We start from the raw sequence: 20,017 nt of genomic DNA on the forward strand, positions 1-20,017 counted from the left end.
GTCAAACCTTAAGGCAGCACAGCCATGGGTCTTGCCCAAGGCCCACTGTAACCACTACCTACATTCTCTCAAGGCCCTAGGGCTCTGCAATCAGCAGGTGATGAAGCCATCCAGGCCTATGTCCTTCCCTTAAGGGCAACAAGTTCCCCTGGCCCTACAGAGGTCCAGAGATGCTGTCTGGGAGCCAGAGCCAGGAGTAGGAAACCTTAGAAATCTATCTGGTGCTCTGTTCTACTGCAGCTGGCCTGACTGTGACAGCACTAGGCAAAGTACTTTCCGCTCTTCCCTCCGTTTTTCCCATGCAAAGGAGTCTCTCCCCATGTCCACCACCACCACAGGCCCACAGGGAGTACTACCAGGGTACTACTGATGTTCACTAAAGGCCCAAGGGCTCTTCTGTCAGCTTGTGGTGAATGCTTTCAGGCCTGGGACTCATCCTTCAGGGCAGTGGGCTCTTCCACTGGCCTATAGTAGGTCCAGAGATGCCATTCAAGAGCCAAAGCCTGGAACTGGGGACCCTAAGAGCCTGTTTGGTGCTCTTCCCCACTGTGGCCAAGCTGACACCTAAGCTCAAGACAAAGTCCCCTTTACTCTTTCCTCTGCTTTTCTGAAGCAGAAGTGGTCTCTTCTCGTAGCCACTACAGCTGAGAATGTGCCGGTCACACCTGAAGTCAGCACAGCTCTTAGTCTCACCCAAGGCCCATGGCGAGTACTACCTGGCTACTGCTGCTGATTATTCAGGGCCCAGGGGCTCTTTAGTCACCACATGATGAATCCTACTAGGACTGGGTCCTTCATGTCAAGGCAGCAGCTTCCCTTCCAGTCCAGGGTGTGTCTAGGAATGTCATCCAGGAGCCAGGGCCTGGAATAGGGACCTTGTGACTCTGCCAGGTGCCCTATCCAACTGTGGCTGAGCTGGGATCCAAGTTACAAGACAAAGTCCTCTTCACTCCCCTCTCCTCTTTTCAAGTGGAAGGAAGGAGTCGGAGTCTCTTTTGGAGCTGTGAGATGCGGTGCCTGGGATTAGGGGAGGGGTAACGCAAGCACTCTTTTAGCAGATCCAGCTGGTGTTTTACTAGCTCGCATGTCCCCTAAGTCCGGTAGCTCAGTCCTCGTGGCCTAGACAGCCTTTCAAGTTTATTTAGGACCCCAGAGCACTTTTGCCTGTGGTGGCACGGCTTGCCAGAACTCAGGTTCCAACCAGCAGGATGGGTGATTCCCATCTGGCTAGGGCTGATGCAAATGCTCCCTCTTGGGGTGCCAGCTGAGTTCTGCCTGGTGTTGACAGCACTGCATTCCATTGCAAAGTCCCACAGTCACTGCACTTTCTCTCCCCAAGTGTACAGATTTTCCACGCCACGTGGCTACTGCCAGGGGAATGGGGAAAGGTTAGTGTTGGCAATTCAAGACTGTCTTTCCTGCCCTCTTCAGTGCCTCTTTCAGTGATATGAAGTTAAAACCAGATAGTGTGATCACTCCCCTGATTTTTGGTTCTTATGAAGGTGCTTTGTTGTGTACATAATTGTTAAATTTTGTGTTCCTGTGGGGAGGATGATTGGTGGAAGCTTCTATTTGATCATTTTGCTTCACTTCCTCTAGCACTATTTATTGTACAGTTTGTTCTTTCCCCCTAACTTGAAATGCCATCTTCATCATATATCAACATTTCATAACTGTCTGTGTCTATTTCTGGCCTTCATTCTGTTCTATTCTTGCCCCAGTAACTCTCTGTTTTAATAACTATGTCTTTATAATGTCTTAATATTCAGTTGGGAATTTGGCTCTCTTTTTGTTCATCTTTCTTAAATTTTTGTTTACTGTTTCTCCATATTTGCTCTTTTAGAATCAATTTATTTCATCACACAAAAATTAAGATTTTTGATGGATATTTAAAATAAATGTAAAAAGCACAAAATTATATTATTATTTATTCCTGAAGCCCTCAACATGTATTATTTTGCACTCCGTATGTATTATTCCTATTAGATAAAGAGCGGGGTAGATCCAGAGTCTTGTGGGACCTAAAGTCTGACCCATTCAAGAGCCCTTTTTAAGGAGAGTAATGCAAAATGATGAATGTGGCATTAGATGCTGTGCCTTGGCGGAGCCTGTGCTGGGAAGATGCCTGAACCTCTAAGCTTTATTAGCTTCATGGTAAACCCGCTTCAGATAAGCAGTCTCACTTAGAGAGAAAGTCCTGACAAATTGTGCCTTTACTCCCACTAGAGTAAACCAATAGTTCATGACTTCTAAACTACTTAGATGGTATAAGCCATAAAATAACAATTAAATCGCGCAGCTTCAGTTGTATTTTTAGTCATGTGTTACACAATACCACTGCCTCAGCTTTCCCCAGGATAGCACCTCTTATTTGAGGATCTCAGGGGACATTATGAACATTAAGTAATTAAACCTCGCAAGACCCCAGAGACACTGGAGAGAGAGATCCAGCTTCACCTTGCCCAGTTCTGAAATGCAGTCACCTCTAGGGATGAACGTGGCAGCTGCTTAGTAATAAACTGCAACACCTCACGACAGTTTAGTCAAGCAATTAGTCTTTGTAGTTGGTAACTGTCTCATGAACATTAGACCATTGACAGTTAAGTCACCAGGATTATTAGTTTACTGAAAATCTAATCCAGTCTTTAAGACTTTTTACTTTTTTGTAATATTTTCCTAATTATAAAAGAAGCATGCACAGTGAATGTCTACTTTTAGTTGCATTTTTTGTAGTTCTTCAAACTTAAAATAGGAAAGAAATATCTTTGTAATACATTAAAATAGGTAGTTACTGATAATGAGGTTTTTTTAATTCACAAGTTTTCTGCTGATCAAAAGTAATCAATGATAGTAAAAGTTGGAAGAGTGGATACCTTTGAGAGGAGTATTGACTGGACGGGGAGATGAGGGGAACCTCTGGGTGCTGGAAATTTTTTTTTTTTTTTTTTTTTTTTAGTGCTGTCTTGTTGCATTTTTTAAAAAATTTTTTATTTTTTATTTTATTATTATTATACTTTAAGTTTTAGGGTACATGTGCACAATGTGCAGGTTTGTTACATATGTATACATATGCCATGCTGGTGTGCTGCACCCATTAACTCGTCATTTAGCATTAGGTATATCTCCTAATGCTATCCCTCCCACCTCCCCCCACCCCACAACAGTCCCCAGAGTGTGATGTTCCCCTTCCTGTGTCCATGTGTTCTCATTGTTCATTTCCCACCTATGAGTGAGAACATGCGGTGTTTGGTTTTTTTGTCCTTGCGATAGTTTACTGAGAATGATGATTTCCAATTTCATCCATGTCCCTACAAAGGACATGAACTCATCCTTTTTTATGGCAATCATTAAAAAGTCAGGAAACAACAGGTGCTGGAGAGGATGTGGAGAAATATGAACACTTTTACACTGTTGATGGGACTATAAACTAGTTCAACCATTGTGGAAGTCAGTGTGGCAATTCCTCAGGGATCTAGAACTAGAAATACCATTTGACCCAGCCATCCCATTACTGGGTATATACCCAAAGGACTATAATCATGCTGCTATAAAGACACATGCACACGTATGCTTATTGCGGCACTATTCACAATAGCAAAGACTTGGAACCAACCCAAATGTCCAACAATGATAGACTGGATTAAGAAAATGTGGCACATATACACCATGGAATACTATGCAGCCATAAAAAAGGAAATGTTTTATATGTTCTTTTTTTTTCCTTTTTTTTTTTTTGTTTTTGGAGATGGAGTCTCACTCTGTCATCTAGGCTATAGTGCAGTGGCACAATCTTGACTCACTGCAACCTCCGCCTCCCAGGTTCAAGTGATTCTCCTGCCTCTCCTGAGTAGCTGGGATTACAGGTGTGCACCACCATGCCCGGCTATGTTTTTTGTATTTTAAGTAGAGACGAAGTTTCATCATGTTGGTCAGGCTGGTCTTGAACTCCTGACCTCAGGTGATCCAACTCCCTTGGCCTCCCAAAGTGCTGGGATTACAGGTGTGAGCTACTGTGACAAGCCAGTTTTATATATTTTTATAGGCGTTGGTTGTTCAGGAACAGACATATGTAGAAATTCCCTGAGCTGTACACTTTTCATATGTGTGTTAATCTCAACAACAAGGTCAATAAGCCTAAAAAGCATCCTGCTCTTGTCATGATGAGAGTGCTAGAAACCCCAGATAGTCTTATTTGGAAAATTCTGCAGGGTGCAGGACATATCGGGAGCTAGAGATATGACAGTTTTTATTTTCCTCAAAGCATCTTTCTTCAGAAGAGGGATTCTAAGTGATTTACCCTCTCTTCTCAGGACATTTTCTCTTCATGCCAAAAGAGCTACCTTTCATGCTAGAATGTGACTCTCTGTCTCATTGTGCCTTCAACATTATGTACCTCTTCGACTATGCCATTTACACCTCCCTAGGCATCTCATTTTTATCTTAGAATTTCATTCATTTACCTACATCTTTGCCAGAAGTAAGTATAATGCATTAGTGACCCAGATATTTGGGGTTGAGAGGCATCTGCAGGGGCCATTGTTGTAACTGGCACTAGAAGAATACCATGGGAGAGGAGGAAGCAGAGGACCCTGGCTGCTCTGGCTCTGCAGTGTCTGATGTGATGCTTGAAAACAAGAAGGCAGAGCAGCATGCCCACACTCACGGAGACAGCAGCAGTCTCTGGAGCCTTCAGCAGGCCCAGGGTCCCTCCTACATCTGTGGCAGCGCTTCTGAGGAGGGGCAGCCATGAGCAGGGTGTCCTAGGGCTGCTCTGAGCTGAGTCCCAAAGGCTGAGAGCAGATGTCATGGCTGAGAACTCCCAGCAGAGCGGACACCACTGGGTGAGGCACAAAGGAGAGGACATCCTCCAATGATGTCTTCTCCCAGGTCTCCCTCTTTAGGCATGGAGAGATTACAAAAGAGAAAAAAGGAGGGGAGGAGGAGGGTGAAAGACCTTTGTAGACAAAATGGGAAATTTTTAGTAAAGGTTAAATACATGAAGCCTAAGCTACCCTGATTATTGACTTTCCAGAACTTACTAAAAAACCAATGCTCAGCTCCAGTTCTTCTTGAAAATAATTTCTATTACGAAATAGAAAAGTGAGCATTGTGACCGCTGGCAGAGCATGAGTTCACAGTATTTCCACACAAAGAGAAAGCAGCCCTTGTGCTAAGCCTTGGCATTCAGGTAACACTGATGTAACTCACTGTGGCCTTTTCCACCTTCTGCCTGGAGATCATTTCAAAGCCCACCATCGAGGAAGCTGATAACCCATTGTTTGTAAACTTCAAAAGGGGCTGCTATGAAAGGAACCCATTGCCCAGGGACTGGCAGAGGTTGAGGGCCTCCTGTGGCCCAGGCCTGGGCCAGGTCCGTTGCCCATCTTCCCATCTCCACAACTCCCCTGGGCAGCATCATGTGAATGAGGGCAAAGAGAGGTGGAGGGAGGGAGGAACTAGCCCAGAATCCCTCCTCAGTGTCAAAATTCGGGGGGGCTGCGGAGACCTGCTCTTCCCACCTCAAGGTACTGCTCTCTAGAATAAAATTCTTTAGATCCATTGTAGTCTAAAACCATGTGACCATGCTGTCTAATTTCCTGTGATTCTGCAGATATTTATCATCTATTTTCTGTCATTATTCTATCCCTTCTCTCAAAGATGCTGAGCTCAGGAGTAGCAGCCAAGGTTCCCAAAAAATAGTCGAGGAGTTGCAGGAACCTGTCTCTCCAGATACCATGGAAAACATCCAGGTGAGAGAGACTATCCCTCCATGCCTAGGGTGGGGGGATGGGCCTGGGGGCTACCTGTGACATCAGGGGCATCTCTGGTGCTGGCGTCACTACGGAGAAGTTCTAATGCCTGATGCAGAAAAGGCCTCACTAGCAGTAAGCACACCGCGAGCTGGGGGAAACAGAGGCCTCTGTGTTTGTAACAGACAAATCAAAGCCTCACTGGTGTGCTCCAAAATTCAGGTCAGAACAGAGTGTCAGCCTTTCTCTACCTTCCTCCCTGACTTCAGGAGGCTGAGACAGATAAAACTGCTCATTTAAACTCACTGGGAAATACAGGCTTTCTGAAGAGACTGACACACTATCTGCATACTCCAATGGGACAGCATTTTCCTTACTGCCCTGACTGGTCCCTGCAGACATGGAAACACTTGCCCCATCTCCCAGCAAAGTCCCCTCCCAGCAAAGAGGGGACTCGGGAGATGTGAGTCTTTTAAAGAAGATTATGTGGCATGGATTAGATTGATGGAAATGAAGCTGATTTAATGGAATTAGTTTTTTTTAAGTGCAGCATTCTTTTTACACTAAGGTGCAGTAACGGAGACTGGATTTACTCTCCTGCCTAAAATAACCAAAGTGTGGCTAAAATATAGAAAACACTGTTCATCACTGTAACAAAGGCCAGCGATGCCTGGGAGATGGGAAACAAGCCAAGCGAATCCTGTGGCTGCCCCAGTTGTTTGCCTTGACAGACCTTCTAGGTCACAACGCAGGGCAGGAAGAGCCAGAAGACTTCCCGAGTCTTTAAGTCCATGCAGACTAGAGTGACTAAAGTCTGAAGGACAGAGTACTAGAAAGGACAGAGTGCACAGAGAGAGACATCATTGATCAGCAGATCAGTCAGGCAGTCAGCTGAGTGCTGATCACACCAGGCATGTGAGGAAACCCCTTAAGGCCAGGCTGAGAAAAGAACCTCTGAAAAGGATGAGGATTAATAGTGCCCATGCCTGTACAAAGTTAGGAATAGTGCCTGTTCTCACCAGCCAGACTGGAAAAGCTTATGATTTGCAAGAGAGTACACAAAAGAGTCTTGTGGAGAATAATTAGTTCTAGAGAGGGCACCGCTCCAGTCCTGCTTAACAAATCTTTAAAGCAAGAACTAAAAGAATCAAAGTAACTTAACTGAGTCCCAGAACAAAGTACAAGACTATCTGTAGGAATACAGAATTACTTGGCACCCACCAAGATGAAATTCACAATGTGTGGAATCCAATAAAGAATTACCAGCACTCACAAAACTGGTAATATATTATGCATAAGGTGGAGATAAATCAATCAGTTGAAACCTACATACATATGAAAACATGTTAGAATTAATGGACAAAAACATTAGAACAGTTATCATAACTGTATGTTCCAAAGGTTAAGGAGAGACATAAAAGATATAAAAATGCCCCAAATCAAACTTCTAGAGATTAAAAACTACAATCAATCAAGATGAAAAATACACCAGAAGGATTAACTCCAGGTTAGGCATTGCAGATGAAAGATTAGTGAACTTGAAACAAATATAAATGAGATGTTTTTTCAAGATACGTATCAGTGAGTTTGGGGACAACTTCAGAGACCTAATATATGTGTAATAGAAGTCCACATGAAGAGAGAGAGACGCTAGGACAGAAAAAAAAAACACATTCGAAGAAATAATGACTGAAAAATGATAAATTTGATGAAAACAATATACTCACAGATACAAGAAGCTCAGCAAACACAAGAACATAAAGAAAACTATACCAAAGCCAGTGGAAAACCAGTGATAAAGAGAAAATCTTAAAAGCAGCCAGGAGTAGATTTGGGGGAAGTCAAGTTAGGAACAGAGAAACAAAGATATGAATAACAGGGGATTTCTTATTGGAAATAATACAAGCAGAAAGATAGTAGGATCACATCTTTAAAGAAATAGAAGAAAATAAACTCCACCCTAGAATTTTATACCCAGTAAATATCTTTCATTCAAAATAAAATATGAAATAAAGAGTTTGCCCTACACAGAAAAGGTGGAAAGGTGCATCACCAGCAGACCCACATTACGAGAAATGTTAAAGAAAGCCCTTTAGGCAGAAGGAAAATGGTATCAGATGGAAATTTGGCTCTACACAAAGAGTTGAAGAGCACTGGAAATGGTAACAAAGTGGGTAAATATATAAGATTTTATCCTTAATATTTATATCTTTTTAAAAGATAGTGACTTCACAAACAAAAATAGCGCCGGGTTTATAACATATGTAAAAATAAAATGTATGACAAGAATAGCACAAAGAGCTTGAGAGGAGACCCAGAGGGGAAAAGTATACTATTTTAAGGTTCTTATATCTAAAGTGCTATAATATCACCTAATGACAGTCTGTGATCAGTTAAAGATGTACCACTAATGTTATAAATCAGATTCAAAGAGTTATATCTAATAAGCCTATAGTTGAGATTAAATATCATCATAAAAATACAAAATTAGACCAAAAGAAGACAAAAAGAGAGGAAAAAGGGAGCAAAGACTAGATGGGACAAATTACAAGATGACAGACTTAAACCTAAGTATACAATAATTACATTAAATGTAAACGTTCCAAATGTCCCGATTAAAGATCATGTATATAAGGCAGATATAGAGTGGATAAAATGCAAAATTCAGTTATATGTAGACTATAAAAATGCACTTTAAATATAAAGATACAATAGGCTAAATTTAAAGAATGGAAAAGGATACACCATGCCAACACTAATCAAAAGTTAGCTGGAATGGCTTTACTAATTTCAGACAAAGTAGATTCCAGAACACAGAATACTATAAGAGATAACAAAGGCCAAGAGAATGTAACAATCTTAAATACTTATGCACCCAATAACAGTGCTTCAAAACATACGAAGCAAAAAGTTGTAGAACTGCAAAGATAAATCAATAAAAATTATAGTTAGAGATTTCAATATGCTCCTCTCAATAATTGATAGAATAAGTAGGCAGAAAATCAGTAAGGATAAAGAAGATTTTAATGACAGTGTTGACCAGCCTTGCCCCACCTCCTGGCCTGGGTAGCTGAAGTGCAGCACAGTGGCCCTCAGCATCCCATCAAATGTGACACACTGTGAACAATGTGGATCTTGTGGGCTGCAGCCCTGGTGGCTGAGGGAAGTGCTCTCTGGATGCTGCATATGGAACCACTGTGTTCTCAGTGTGTAGATTCACAGATAGACATGAGTGAATAATAATAGAAAATGGCATGGAACAGTGGGCATCAATGTCAAGATGATACTGGGTAACACCCTACAACTGGATGAACTAATGAGTGAAGAAGAGTATGAGAAATATGTAAAATCCATTGAGGAGTGAGAATGGGACCTCTCAATAAACTAGAATGAAACAACTTAATTCAGCATAGTTGTCTTAAATTAGTAATAGATGGAAGACATAAAATAGCAACTTTTGGTATTACCAGTGGATAAAGAAACTACTCCCAACACTGCTGCTGGAAGAAAATACCCCTTTTCTAAAGATTTCAGACAAACACAATATGCATCTTTTTCACAATACTCTATGATTTTTAGGCTAGGCTCTAGTTATAATATTTAGAATTCATGAAGTTTTCTGTGGTGAGAACTAGCTGTAAAAATTATATATCTTGAGGATAACATTATGTCTTCAGCTTTATATAATATTGTAACTTGCTTATATCCATTCCTGGATTTGAGTCAAAATACTTAATGATCTTTGCATTGAAAATAATTTGGGAGTGGAGAAAACTTTTGTTAGTTGTACAATGTCAGATGAAGAACAATACTGTCTTTTTAAGTTTCAATAGTTTTGGGGCTAAAGTGGTTTTTGGTTACCTGGATAAGTTCTTTAGTGGTGATTTCTGAGATTTTAGTGCATCCGTCACCTGTGCAGTGTACACTGTACCCAATATGCAGTCTTTTATCCCTCACCCCTACCGGCCAAGTCCCCAAAGTCCATTATATCACTCTTACGCCTTTGCATCCTCATAGCTTATCTCCCACTTATGAATGAGAACATATGATATTTGCTTTTCCATACCTGAGTTACTTCACTTAGAATAATGGCCTCCAGCTCTATCCAAGTTGCTGCAAAAGACATTATTTCATTCCTTTCTATGGTTGAATAGTATTTCATACTGTATATACCATATTTTCTTTATCTACTTATTGGTTGATGGACACTTAGTTTGGCTACATATCTTTGCAATTGCAGATTGTCCTGCTGTAAACATGCATGTGCATGTGTCTTTTTCATATAATGACTTCTTTTCCTTTGGGTAGACACCTAGTAGTGGGATTACTGGATCAAATGGTAGTTCTACTTTACCTCTTTAAGGAATCTCCAAACTGTTGTCCATAGTGGTTGTACTAATTTACATTCCCACTGGCAGTGTAAAAGTGTTCCCTTTTCACCACATCCACACCAACATCTATTGTTTTTGATGTTTTAATTGTGGCCATTCTTGCAGGAGTAAGGTGGTATTTCATTGTGGTTTTAATTTGCATTTTCTTGATGATTAGTGATGTTAAACATTTTTTCATGTTTGTTGGCTGTTTGTACATCTTTTGAAAAATATCTATTCATGCCCTTTGACCACTTTATGATGGGATTATTTGTTTTTTTCTTGCTGATCTGTTCGAATTCCTTGTAGATTCTGGATACTAGTCCTTTGTTGGGTACATAGTTTGCAAATATTTTCTCCCACTCTGTGGGTTGTCTGTTTACTTTGCTGATTATTTCTTTTGCTGTGCAGAAACTTTTTAGTTTAGTTAGGTCCAATTTATTTGTTGGTTTTTTGTTTTTTTTTTTGCATTTGCTTTTGGGGTCTTAGTCATGAATTCTTTGCCTAAGCAAATGTCCAGAAGAGATTTTTTTAATGTTATCTTCTAGAATTTTTATGGTTTCAGGTCTTAGATTTAAGTCTTTAATCCATATTATGTTGATTTTTGCATAAGGTGAGAGATGAGTATCCAGTTTCATTCTTCTACATGTGACTTGCCAGTTTTCTCAGCACTATTTGTTGAATATGGTGTCCTTTTCCCACTTTATATTTTTCTTTGCTTTGTCAAAGACTAGTTGGCTGTTAAGTATTTGGCTTTATTTCTGGGTTCTCTGTTCTGTTCTGTTGGTCTACATGCCTATTTTTATACCAGTATTATGCTGCTTTGGCAACTATAACCTTGTAGTATAGTTTGAAGTCAGGTAATGAGATGCCTCCAGATTTGTTCTTTTTGCTTAGTCTTGCTTTGGCTATGCAGGCTCTTTTATGGCTCCGTATGAATTTTCAGATTGTTTTTTCTAGTTCTGTGAAGAATGACGATAGTATTTTCATGGGAATTGCATTGAATCTGTAGATTGCTTTTGGCAGTATGGTCATTTTCACAATGTTGATTCTACCCATCCATGAGCATGGGATGTATTTCCATTTGTTTGTGTCATCAGTGATTTCTTTCAGCAGTGTTTTGTAATTTTCCTTGTAGATCTTTCACCTCCTTGGTTAAGTATATTCCTAGGGTTTTTTTGTTTTGTTTTTTGTTTTTGTATTTGTGGGTTTTGTTTGTGTCTGTTGTAAAAGGGATTGAGTTCTCTATTTGATTCTCAGCTTGGTCATTGTTGGTATATTGTAGTGCTACTGATTTGTGTACATTAATTTTGTAACCTGAGACTTTACTGAATTTGCTTATCAGATCTAAGAGCTTTTTGGATGTTTTAGTGTTTTGGATGTTTTGTGTTTTCTAGGTATGTGATCATATCATCAGGAAACAGCAACAATTTGACTTTCTCTTTTCCAATTTGGATGCCCTTTATTTCTTTCTCTTGTTTGATTTCTCTGGCTATGACTTCCAGCACTATGTTGAATAGAAGTGGTGAAAGTGGGCATCCTTGTCTTATTCCAGTTCTCAGAAGGAATGCTTTCAACTTTTCCTCATTCAATATGATGTTGACAATACTTTCTTAATTTTGCAATACACTGAATTTGCTGGTGCTATTTATATACAGTGAAGCAAAAGCTTGGCAGTAGAATAAGAAACAATATAGTAATAAAACAACTTCATTACTCATGAAAAAACATGCAGACAAAACCACTACTGACCGATTTGGCGTAATTGACATATATAAAATACTTCACTCAACAACAGCAGAATATACATTCTTTTCAAGTATACATAGAACATGGACAGTTTACCAAGATAGACCATATTATGGGCTATAAAACAAGACTCAATAAATTTAGGATTCAAGTCATCTGAGATATGGTCTCTCATGACAAAAGACTTAACAAGAAAATAAAACTGCAGATCAGTATTTCTCATGAACATTGATGAGGAAATTCTAATAAAAACTTAGCAAACTGGAAGATGGCAGATAGGAAACAGGGCTGACATGCAGCTCCCACTTGGATGGACAAAACAGCATGTGGAGATTCACACCATGAACTTTTGCTTCGGAAACCATCACAGGAGCATGCCAGGAAAACCAAAAGAAACCACAGATCCTTTGTAAGAAGCAGCAGACTGCTGCAATTGCCACAAGACAGGCGAAAACCTGTGAATTCCCAAAGTGTGAGGGGGGAAACTTGCTTCTGAACACACATCCCCACTGGCGAATCTGAAAATCCAGATTACAGGAGAAAGATTTAACCTTACCTGCCACTGAAATGGATTTAGTGTGAAATATAAAAGTAGAAGCAGCAGTAGGAAGAACCTTCTAGGCACTCCCATTCTCCAGCTCAAGCCCAGGGAAGCCATCCCTGACTATATCTCACAGACATCCTCGGGGAAGGCAGTCCAGATTTTGGAAGGGGTCACAGGGTGAAAGAAACTTCCAACTGAACTTTGTAATAATTTTGACTGGCCACAAACCCTCTTGAGCAGAATCCTGGGGATGAATGGGAACCACTGCAGAAAGGAGTGCAGGAGTCACAGCCAGCAGTGTGGGGAGATGAGGAGGGGCATGGCCTGAAAGCCATACTTGCTTCTTCAGTGGAGAAACTTATAGCATGGGGCTGGGTCTGAGTCCTACACACAGGCTGCCTGTAGATAAACTTGTCGCTCTTAGCAGAGCATGGCAAGAGCGAGACTGGCCTCACCAACTCCATGGGAGTGGGGTGAAACCTATTGTTACTGGCTTTCCCCCACTTCCCTGGTGACAGAGGCAGCCATGATTCCCTCTGGAACATAACCCCATGCGCCCACCACCCCCCTACACTCCAAAGTGGCTTCAGTAAGCCCTGCTCAAGGAGGGTCTGAGCTCAGACCTGCCTATTCCTACCCACACCTGATAGTATTTCTCTACCCACCCCAGTAGCCAATCACAAAAGACGTAAAAGCTTGGGATCTTTATGGCCCTGCCCATCACCTGAGAAACCCAAATTCTTATCCTGGCCAACACAGGGCAAGCTTATATCCCCCTTCTACTATTGCAGCTGGTGCTCTCTCGAAAGTGCCACCTCCTGGCTTGAGGCCAACCAACTCAGGACATTACAGCAACTCATGACAGAACAACCCTGCTCCAAGAAAGGAGAAAACAAAAACCAATTCCACTGCCTGAAACATCCTGGATAACCAGTGGTCCTGAGTCTGTCCACATGACAGCTTCACTGCTAGCATAACTAGCATTTGAGAAAGCCAGCACACTAAGCATATCTACAACCAAGGACTCTCACAGAGCCTACTTCACTCCCCTGCCACCTCCACCAGAGCAGGTGCTGGTATTCATGGTTGGGAGACCTGAAGATAGATTGTATCACAGGACTCCTTGCAGACATTCCACAGCAATAACCCAGAGCCTGGTAGCCCCACTGGGTTACCAGACCCAGAAGAGAAATAACAATCACTGCAATTTGGCTCTCAGGAAGTCCCATCTGTAGGGGAAGAGGGAAGGCACCACATCAAGGGATTACTTTGTGGGACAAAAGAATCTGAACAGCAGCCCTTGAGTTCCAGATTTTTCCACTGACATAGTCTACCCAAATGAGAAGGAACCAGAAAAGAAATTCTGGTAATATGACAAAACAAGGTTCTGTAACACCCCCAAAAGACCACACTAGCTCCCCAGCAATGGATCCAAACCAAGAAGAAATCTCTGAATTGCCAGATAAAGAATTCAGAAAGTTATAAAGCTCCTCAAGGAGATACCAGAGAAAGGTGAAAACCAACTTAAAGAAATTTTTTAAAAAAATACAAGATATTTATGAAAAATACTCCAGAGAAATAGATGTCATAAAGAAAGAAATATAGCTTCTGGAAATGCAAGACACACTTAGAGAAATACAAAATGCACTTGAAAGTTTCAACAGTAGACTAGAACAAGTAGAAGAAAGAACTTCAGAGCTTAAAGACAAGGCTTTCAAATTAACCCAATTAGACAAAAAAAAAAGAATTATTAAAAAATGAACAAAGCCTCCAAGAAATTTGGGATTATGTTAAACGGCCAAACCTAAGGATAACTGGTATTCCTGAGGAAGAAGAGAAATCTAAGTTTGGAAAACATATATGAGGGAATAATCAAGGAAAACTTCCCTGGCCTCACTAGAGATCTAGACATCCAAATATAAGAAGCTCAAAGGGCCAGGTTCAGTGGCTCATACCTGTAATCCCAGCACTTTGGGAGGCCGAGGTGAGCGGATCACGAGGTCAGGAGATTGAGACCATCCTGACTAACACAGTGAAACCCCGTCTCTACTAAAAATACAAAAACAAAATTAGCCAAGTGTGGTGGTGGGCACCTGTAGTCCCAGTTACTCGGGAGGCCGTGGTGGGAGAATGGCGTGAACCCAGGAGGTGGAGCCTGCAGTGAGCTGAGATGGCGCCACTGCACTCCTGTCTGGGCGACAGAGCAAGACTCCGTCTCAAAAAAAAAAAAAAAAAAAGAAGCTCAAAGAACATCTGGGAAATTCACTGGAAAAAGATCATCACCCAGGCACATAGTCATCAGGTTATCTAAAGTCAAAGTCAAGACAAAGGAAAGAAAATTAAGACCTGTAAGGCGGAAACATCAGGCGACCTATAAAGGAAAACGTATCAGATTTACAGCAGGTTTCTCAGCAGAAACACTACAAGCCAGAAGGGATTGGGTCCTATCTTTAGCTCCTCAAACAAAATAATTGCCAGCCAAGAATTTTGTATCCAGCAAAACTAGCTTCATAAATGAAGGAGAGAGAAAGTGTTTTTCAGACAAACAAATGCTAAGAGAATTTGCCACTACCAAGCCAGCACTACAAGAAATACTAAAAAAAGTTCTAAATCTTGAAACAAAACTTCAAAATACATGAAAATAGAACCTCCATAAGCATAAATCTCACAGGGCCTATAAAACAATAACACAATGAAAAAAAAAACACCAAAGTATTCAGGCAACAACTAGCATGTTGAATAAAACAGTACCTCATATCTCAGTACTAACATTGAATGTAAATGGTGTAAATGTTCCACTTAAAAGACACAGAATGGCAGAATGGATAAACATTCACCAATCAAGTATCTGCTGTCTTGAAGAGACTCACCTAATGCATAAGGATTCCTATAAACTTGCAGTCAATGGGTGGAAAAAGTTATTTCATGCAAATGGAAACCAAAAATGAGGAAGAGTAACTATTTTTATGTCAGAGAAAACATACTTTAAAGCAACAACAGTTAAAAAAAGTGGGACATTATAAAATGATTTTTAAAAAATCAGTCCTACAGGAAAATACCCCAATCCTAAATATATATGCACCTAACATGGTAGCTCCCAAATTTATAAAACAATTATTACTAGACATAAGAAATGAGATAGATGGCAACACAATAATAGTGGGGGACTTCAATACTCCATTGACAGCCTGAGACAGGACATCATGACAGAAAGTCAACAAAAAAAATGCACTTAAACTATACCCTAGAACTAATGGACTTAACAGATATTTATAGAACATTCAATACCCAACAACTGCAGAATATACATTCTTTTCATCAGCACATGGAACATTCTCCAAGATATGCCATATGATGGGCCACAAAACAAGTCTCAATAAACTTAAGAAAATTGAAATTATATCAAGTACCCTCTCAGACCACAGTAGAATAAAATTGGAAATTAACTCCAAAAGGAACCCTCAAAACTATACAAATACATGGAAATTAAATAATCTGAACTTGAATGATCTTTGGGTCAACAGTGAAATCAAGATGGAAATAAAAAATTATTTGAACTGACTGATAATAGTGACACAATTTATCAAAACCTCTGGGACACAGCAAAAGTGGTGCTAAGAGGAAAGTTCATGGCATTAAATGCCTACATCGAAAAGTCTGAAAGAGCACAGATAGACAGTCTAAGGTCACACCTCAAGGAACTAGAGAAACAAGAACAAATCAAACCCAAACCCAACAGAAGAAAAGAAATAAAAAGATCAGAACAGGACTAAATGAAACGGTAACAAAAAAATTCAAAAGATAAACGAAACAAAAAGCTGGTTCTTTGAAAAGATAAACAAAATTGATAGACCATTACCAAGATTAACCAAGAAAAGAAGAGAGAAGATCCAAATAGCCTCAATTAGAAATGAAATTTCTAATTGATATTACAACCAATACCACAGCAACATTCAAGACTGCTGTGAACACCTTTAGGTGCACAAACTAGAAAATCTTGAGGAGATAGATAAATTCCTGGAAATATACAACCCTCCTAGATTAATCAGGAAGAAATAGAAACTCTGAACAGACCAATAACAGGTAGTGAGATTGAAACAATAATTTTAAAATTGCCAACAAAAAAAGTCCAGGACCAGATGAATTCACAGCTGAATTCTATCAGGCATTCAAAGAAGAATTGGTACCAATCTTACTGATACTGTTCCAGAAGATAAAGAAAGAGGTAATCCTCCTTAAATCATTTTATGAAGCCAGTATCACACTAAAACCAAAACCGGGAAAGGACATAACCAAAAAAGAAAACTATAGACTAATAATCCTGATGAACATAGTTGCAAAAATCCTCAACAAAATGCTAGCTAACCATATCCAACATCATATCAAAAAGATAATACACCATGATCAAGTGGGTTTCATACCAGGGATGCAGGGTTTAACATATACAAGTTAATAAATGTGATATGTGACATAAACAGATTTAAAAACAAAAATCATATTATCATCTCAAAAGACACAGAGAAAGCATTTGATAAAATCCAGCATTCCTGTAGGATTAAAACCCTCAGCAAAATTGGCATAAAAAGGACATACCTCAAGTAATAAAAGCCATCTATGAGACACCCACAGCTAACATTATACTGAACAAGGAAAAGTTGAAATCATTCCCCCTGAGAACTGGAACAAGACGAGGATGCACATTTTCACCACTTTTATTCAACATAGTACTTAATGTCCTAGCCAGAGCAATTAGACAAAAGAAAGCAACAAAAGCCATCCAAATTGATAAAGAAGAGGCCAACTGTCGCTATTCACTGATAATGTGATTGTATACCTAGAAAACCCTAAGGACTCATCCAAAAAGCTCCTAGATCTGATATATTCAGTAAAGTCTCAGGTTACAAAATCAATGTATACAAATCAGTAGCACTGCTATACACCAACAGTGACCAAGCTGAGAATCATATACAGAACTCAATCCCTTTTACAACAGCTGCCAAACAAAACAAAACAGCAACAACAACAACACACAAACAAAAAAATCCCAAAACAACAACAACAAACCTTAAAAAAACAAACAAAAAACCTAGGAATATACTTAACCAAGAAGGTGAAAGACCTCTACAAGGAAAACTACAAAATACTGCTGAAAGACATCACTGATGACACAAACAAATGGAAACACATCCCATGCTCATGGATGGGTAGAATCAATATTGTGAAAATGACTATACTGCCAAAAGCAATCTACAGATTCAATGCACTTCCCATAAAAATACCATCATCATTCTTCACAGAACTAGAAAAAACAATCCAAAAATTCATATGGAGCCATAAAAGAGCCTGCATAGCCAAAGCAAGACTAAGCAAAAAGAAGAAATCTGGAGGCATCACATTACGTGACTTCAAGCTGTACTATAAGGCTATAGTTACCAAAAAAGCATGGTACTGGTATAAAATAGGCATGTAGACCAACAGAACAGAATAGAGAACCCAGAAATAAAGCCAAATACTTAAGAGCCAACTAATCTTCAACAAAGCAAACAAAAACATAAAGTAGGAAAAGGACACCGTATTCAACAAATAGTGCTGGGAAAACTGGCGAGCCACATGTAGAAGAATGAAGCTGGATCCTCATCTCTCACCTTATACAAAGATCAACTCAAGATGGATCAAAGACTTAAATCTAAGAGGTAAAGCCGTAAAAATTCTAGAAGATAACATTGGAAAAAACTCTTCTAGACATTGGCTTAGGCAAAGACCAAGAACCCAAAAGCAAATGCAACAAAAACAAAGATAAATAGATGGGACCTAATTAAACTAAAAAGCTTCTGCACAGCAGAAGAAATAACCAGCAGAGTAAACAGACAGCCCACAGAGTGGGAGGAAATATTTGCAAACTGTGTATCTGACAAAGAACTAGTATCCAGAATCTACAAAGAACTCAAATGAATCAGCAAGAAAGAAACAAATAATCCCATCAAAAAGTGGGCAAAGGACATGAATAGAGAATCCTCAAAAGAAGATTTACAAACAGCCAACAAACATACGAAAAAATGCTCAACACCACTAATTATCAGGGAAATGAAAATCAAAACCACAATGGAATGTCACCTTACTCCTACAAGAATGGCTATAATTTAAAAATAAAAAAACAACAGATCTTGGCTTGGATGTGGTGAAAAGGGAAGAGTTTTTCAATGCTGGTGGGAATGTAAACTAGTACAAGCACTATCGAAAACAGCATGGAGATTCCTTAAAGAATTAAAAGTAGAACTACCATTTGATCCAGCAGTCCCACTACTGGGTGTCTACCGAGTGGAAAAGAAGTCATTATATGAAAAATACACTTGCACAAGCATGTTTATAACAGCACAATTTGCAATTGCAAAAATATGGAACCAGACTAAATGCCATCAACATAGAGTCTTTTATCTGCACATTGGGTACAGTATACACTGCTTGGATGATGGGTGCACTAAAATCTCAGAAATCACTAAGGAACTTTTCCATGCAACCAAACACCAACTGTTCTCCCAAAAATATTGAAATAAAAAAATTTAAAAATTAGCAAACTGAGTCAATATACAAAAAGGATAATCATGACTGAGTAGGGTTTATTCTAGGAATGCAAGTTTGGTTTAACATAAGAAAATCGGTGTAATTCACCATTTTAACAAACTAAAAAAAAACCATATGTTTATCTCATAAATATATAAAAGACATTTGAAAATCTAACATTAATTCCTCATAAAGACTCTTAGCACTTTTTCAATTTGACAAAGGTTATTTTTGAAAAACTTACAGCAAACGTCACACATAATGGTGAAGGACTAATTGTTTCACCCTTAAAGTCAGGAACAAGTTAAGAATGCCTTTTCTCACCACTTCTAATCAAAACTGTACTGAAGATTTGAACCAGTGCAAAAAGATAGGAAAAGAAATGAAAGGCATCCAGATTAAAAAGGAATAATTAAGACTATCTTTCACTCACAGACAACATGACTACCTATGAAAAAAAAATCTGATGGAATCTACAAAACAGCTACTATAACTAATATATAAAAAATTAATATGCAAAATTTAGTTGTATCTCTGTATAATAGCAATGAACAATCAGATTGAAATACCATCTACAACAGTACAAATATGTTAAATACTTATAGATTAAATCTGACGAAAGATATTCAAGACTTCTATGGTGAAAACTACAAAACATTTCTGAGAGAAATTAAAGAAGACCTAAATACATGGAGAGATATTCTATGTTCGTGGGATATTGAATCTTTAAATCAGTTCTTTGCAAATTTGGTAAAATCCCAATCACATTTTCAGCAGGAATTTTTATAGAAGTTTAATTAATTGATTCCAAAATTTATATGAAAATGGAGATAACCTAAAACAGCCAGAGAAACTTTGAAAAATAACAAAGCTGTAGGATAACACTAACTGATTTCAAGATTAATTATTGTAAGATTCTTTTTTTTCTCTCTCTCTATTGCCCAGGCTGGAGTGCAGTGGCATGATCTCAGCTCAGTGCAACCTCCGCCTCCCAGGTTCAAGTGATACTCATGCCTCAGCCTTCCAAGTAGCTGGTACAGGTG

General features: G+C 39.3%; 1 protein-coding gene across 2 annotated transcripts in view; it reads left to right on the forward strand.

The window, feature by feature from the left end:
* CFAP61 (cilia and flagella associated protein 61) overlaps positions 1-20,017 on the forward strand; it is a 308,167-nt gene that overhangs the window by 84,667 nt on the left and 203,483 nt on the right. For both annotated transcript variants that reach the window (NM_015585.4, NM_001167816.1), the window contains one exon: positions 5,659-5,750. In NM_015585.4, coding sequence (NP_056400.3) covers positions 5,659-5,750 — 92 coding nt within the window. The remainder of the gene's footprint in view (positions 1-5,658; positions 5,751-20,017) is intronic.

This window comes from Homo sapiens, chromosome 20 (assembly GCF_000001405.40).
Source record: "Homo sapiens chromosome 20, GRCh38.p14 Primary Assembly".
Lineage (NCBI taxonomy): Eukaryota > Metazoa > Chordata > Mammalia > Primates > Hominidae > Homo > Homo sapiens.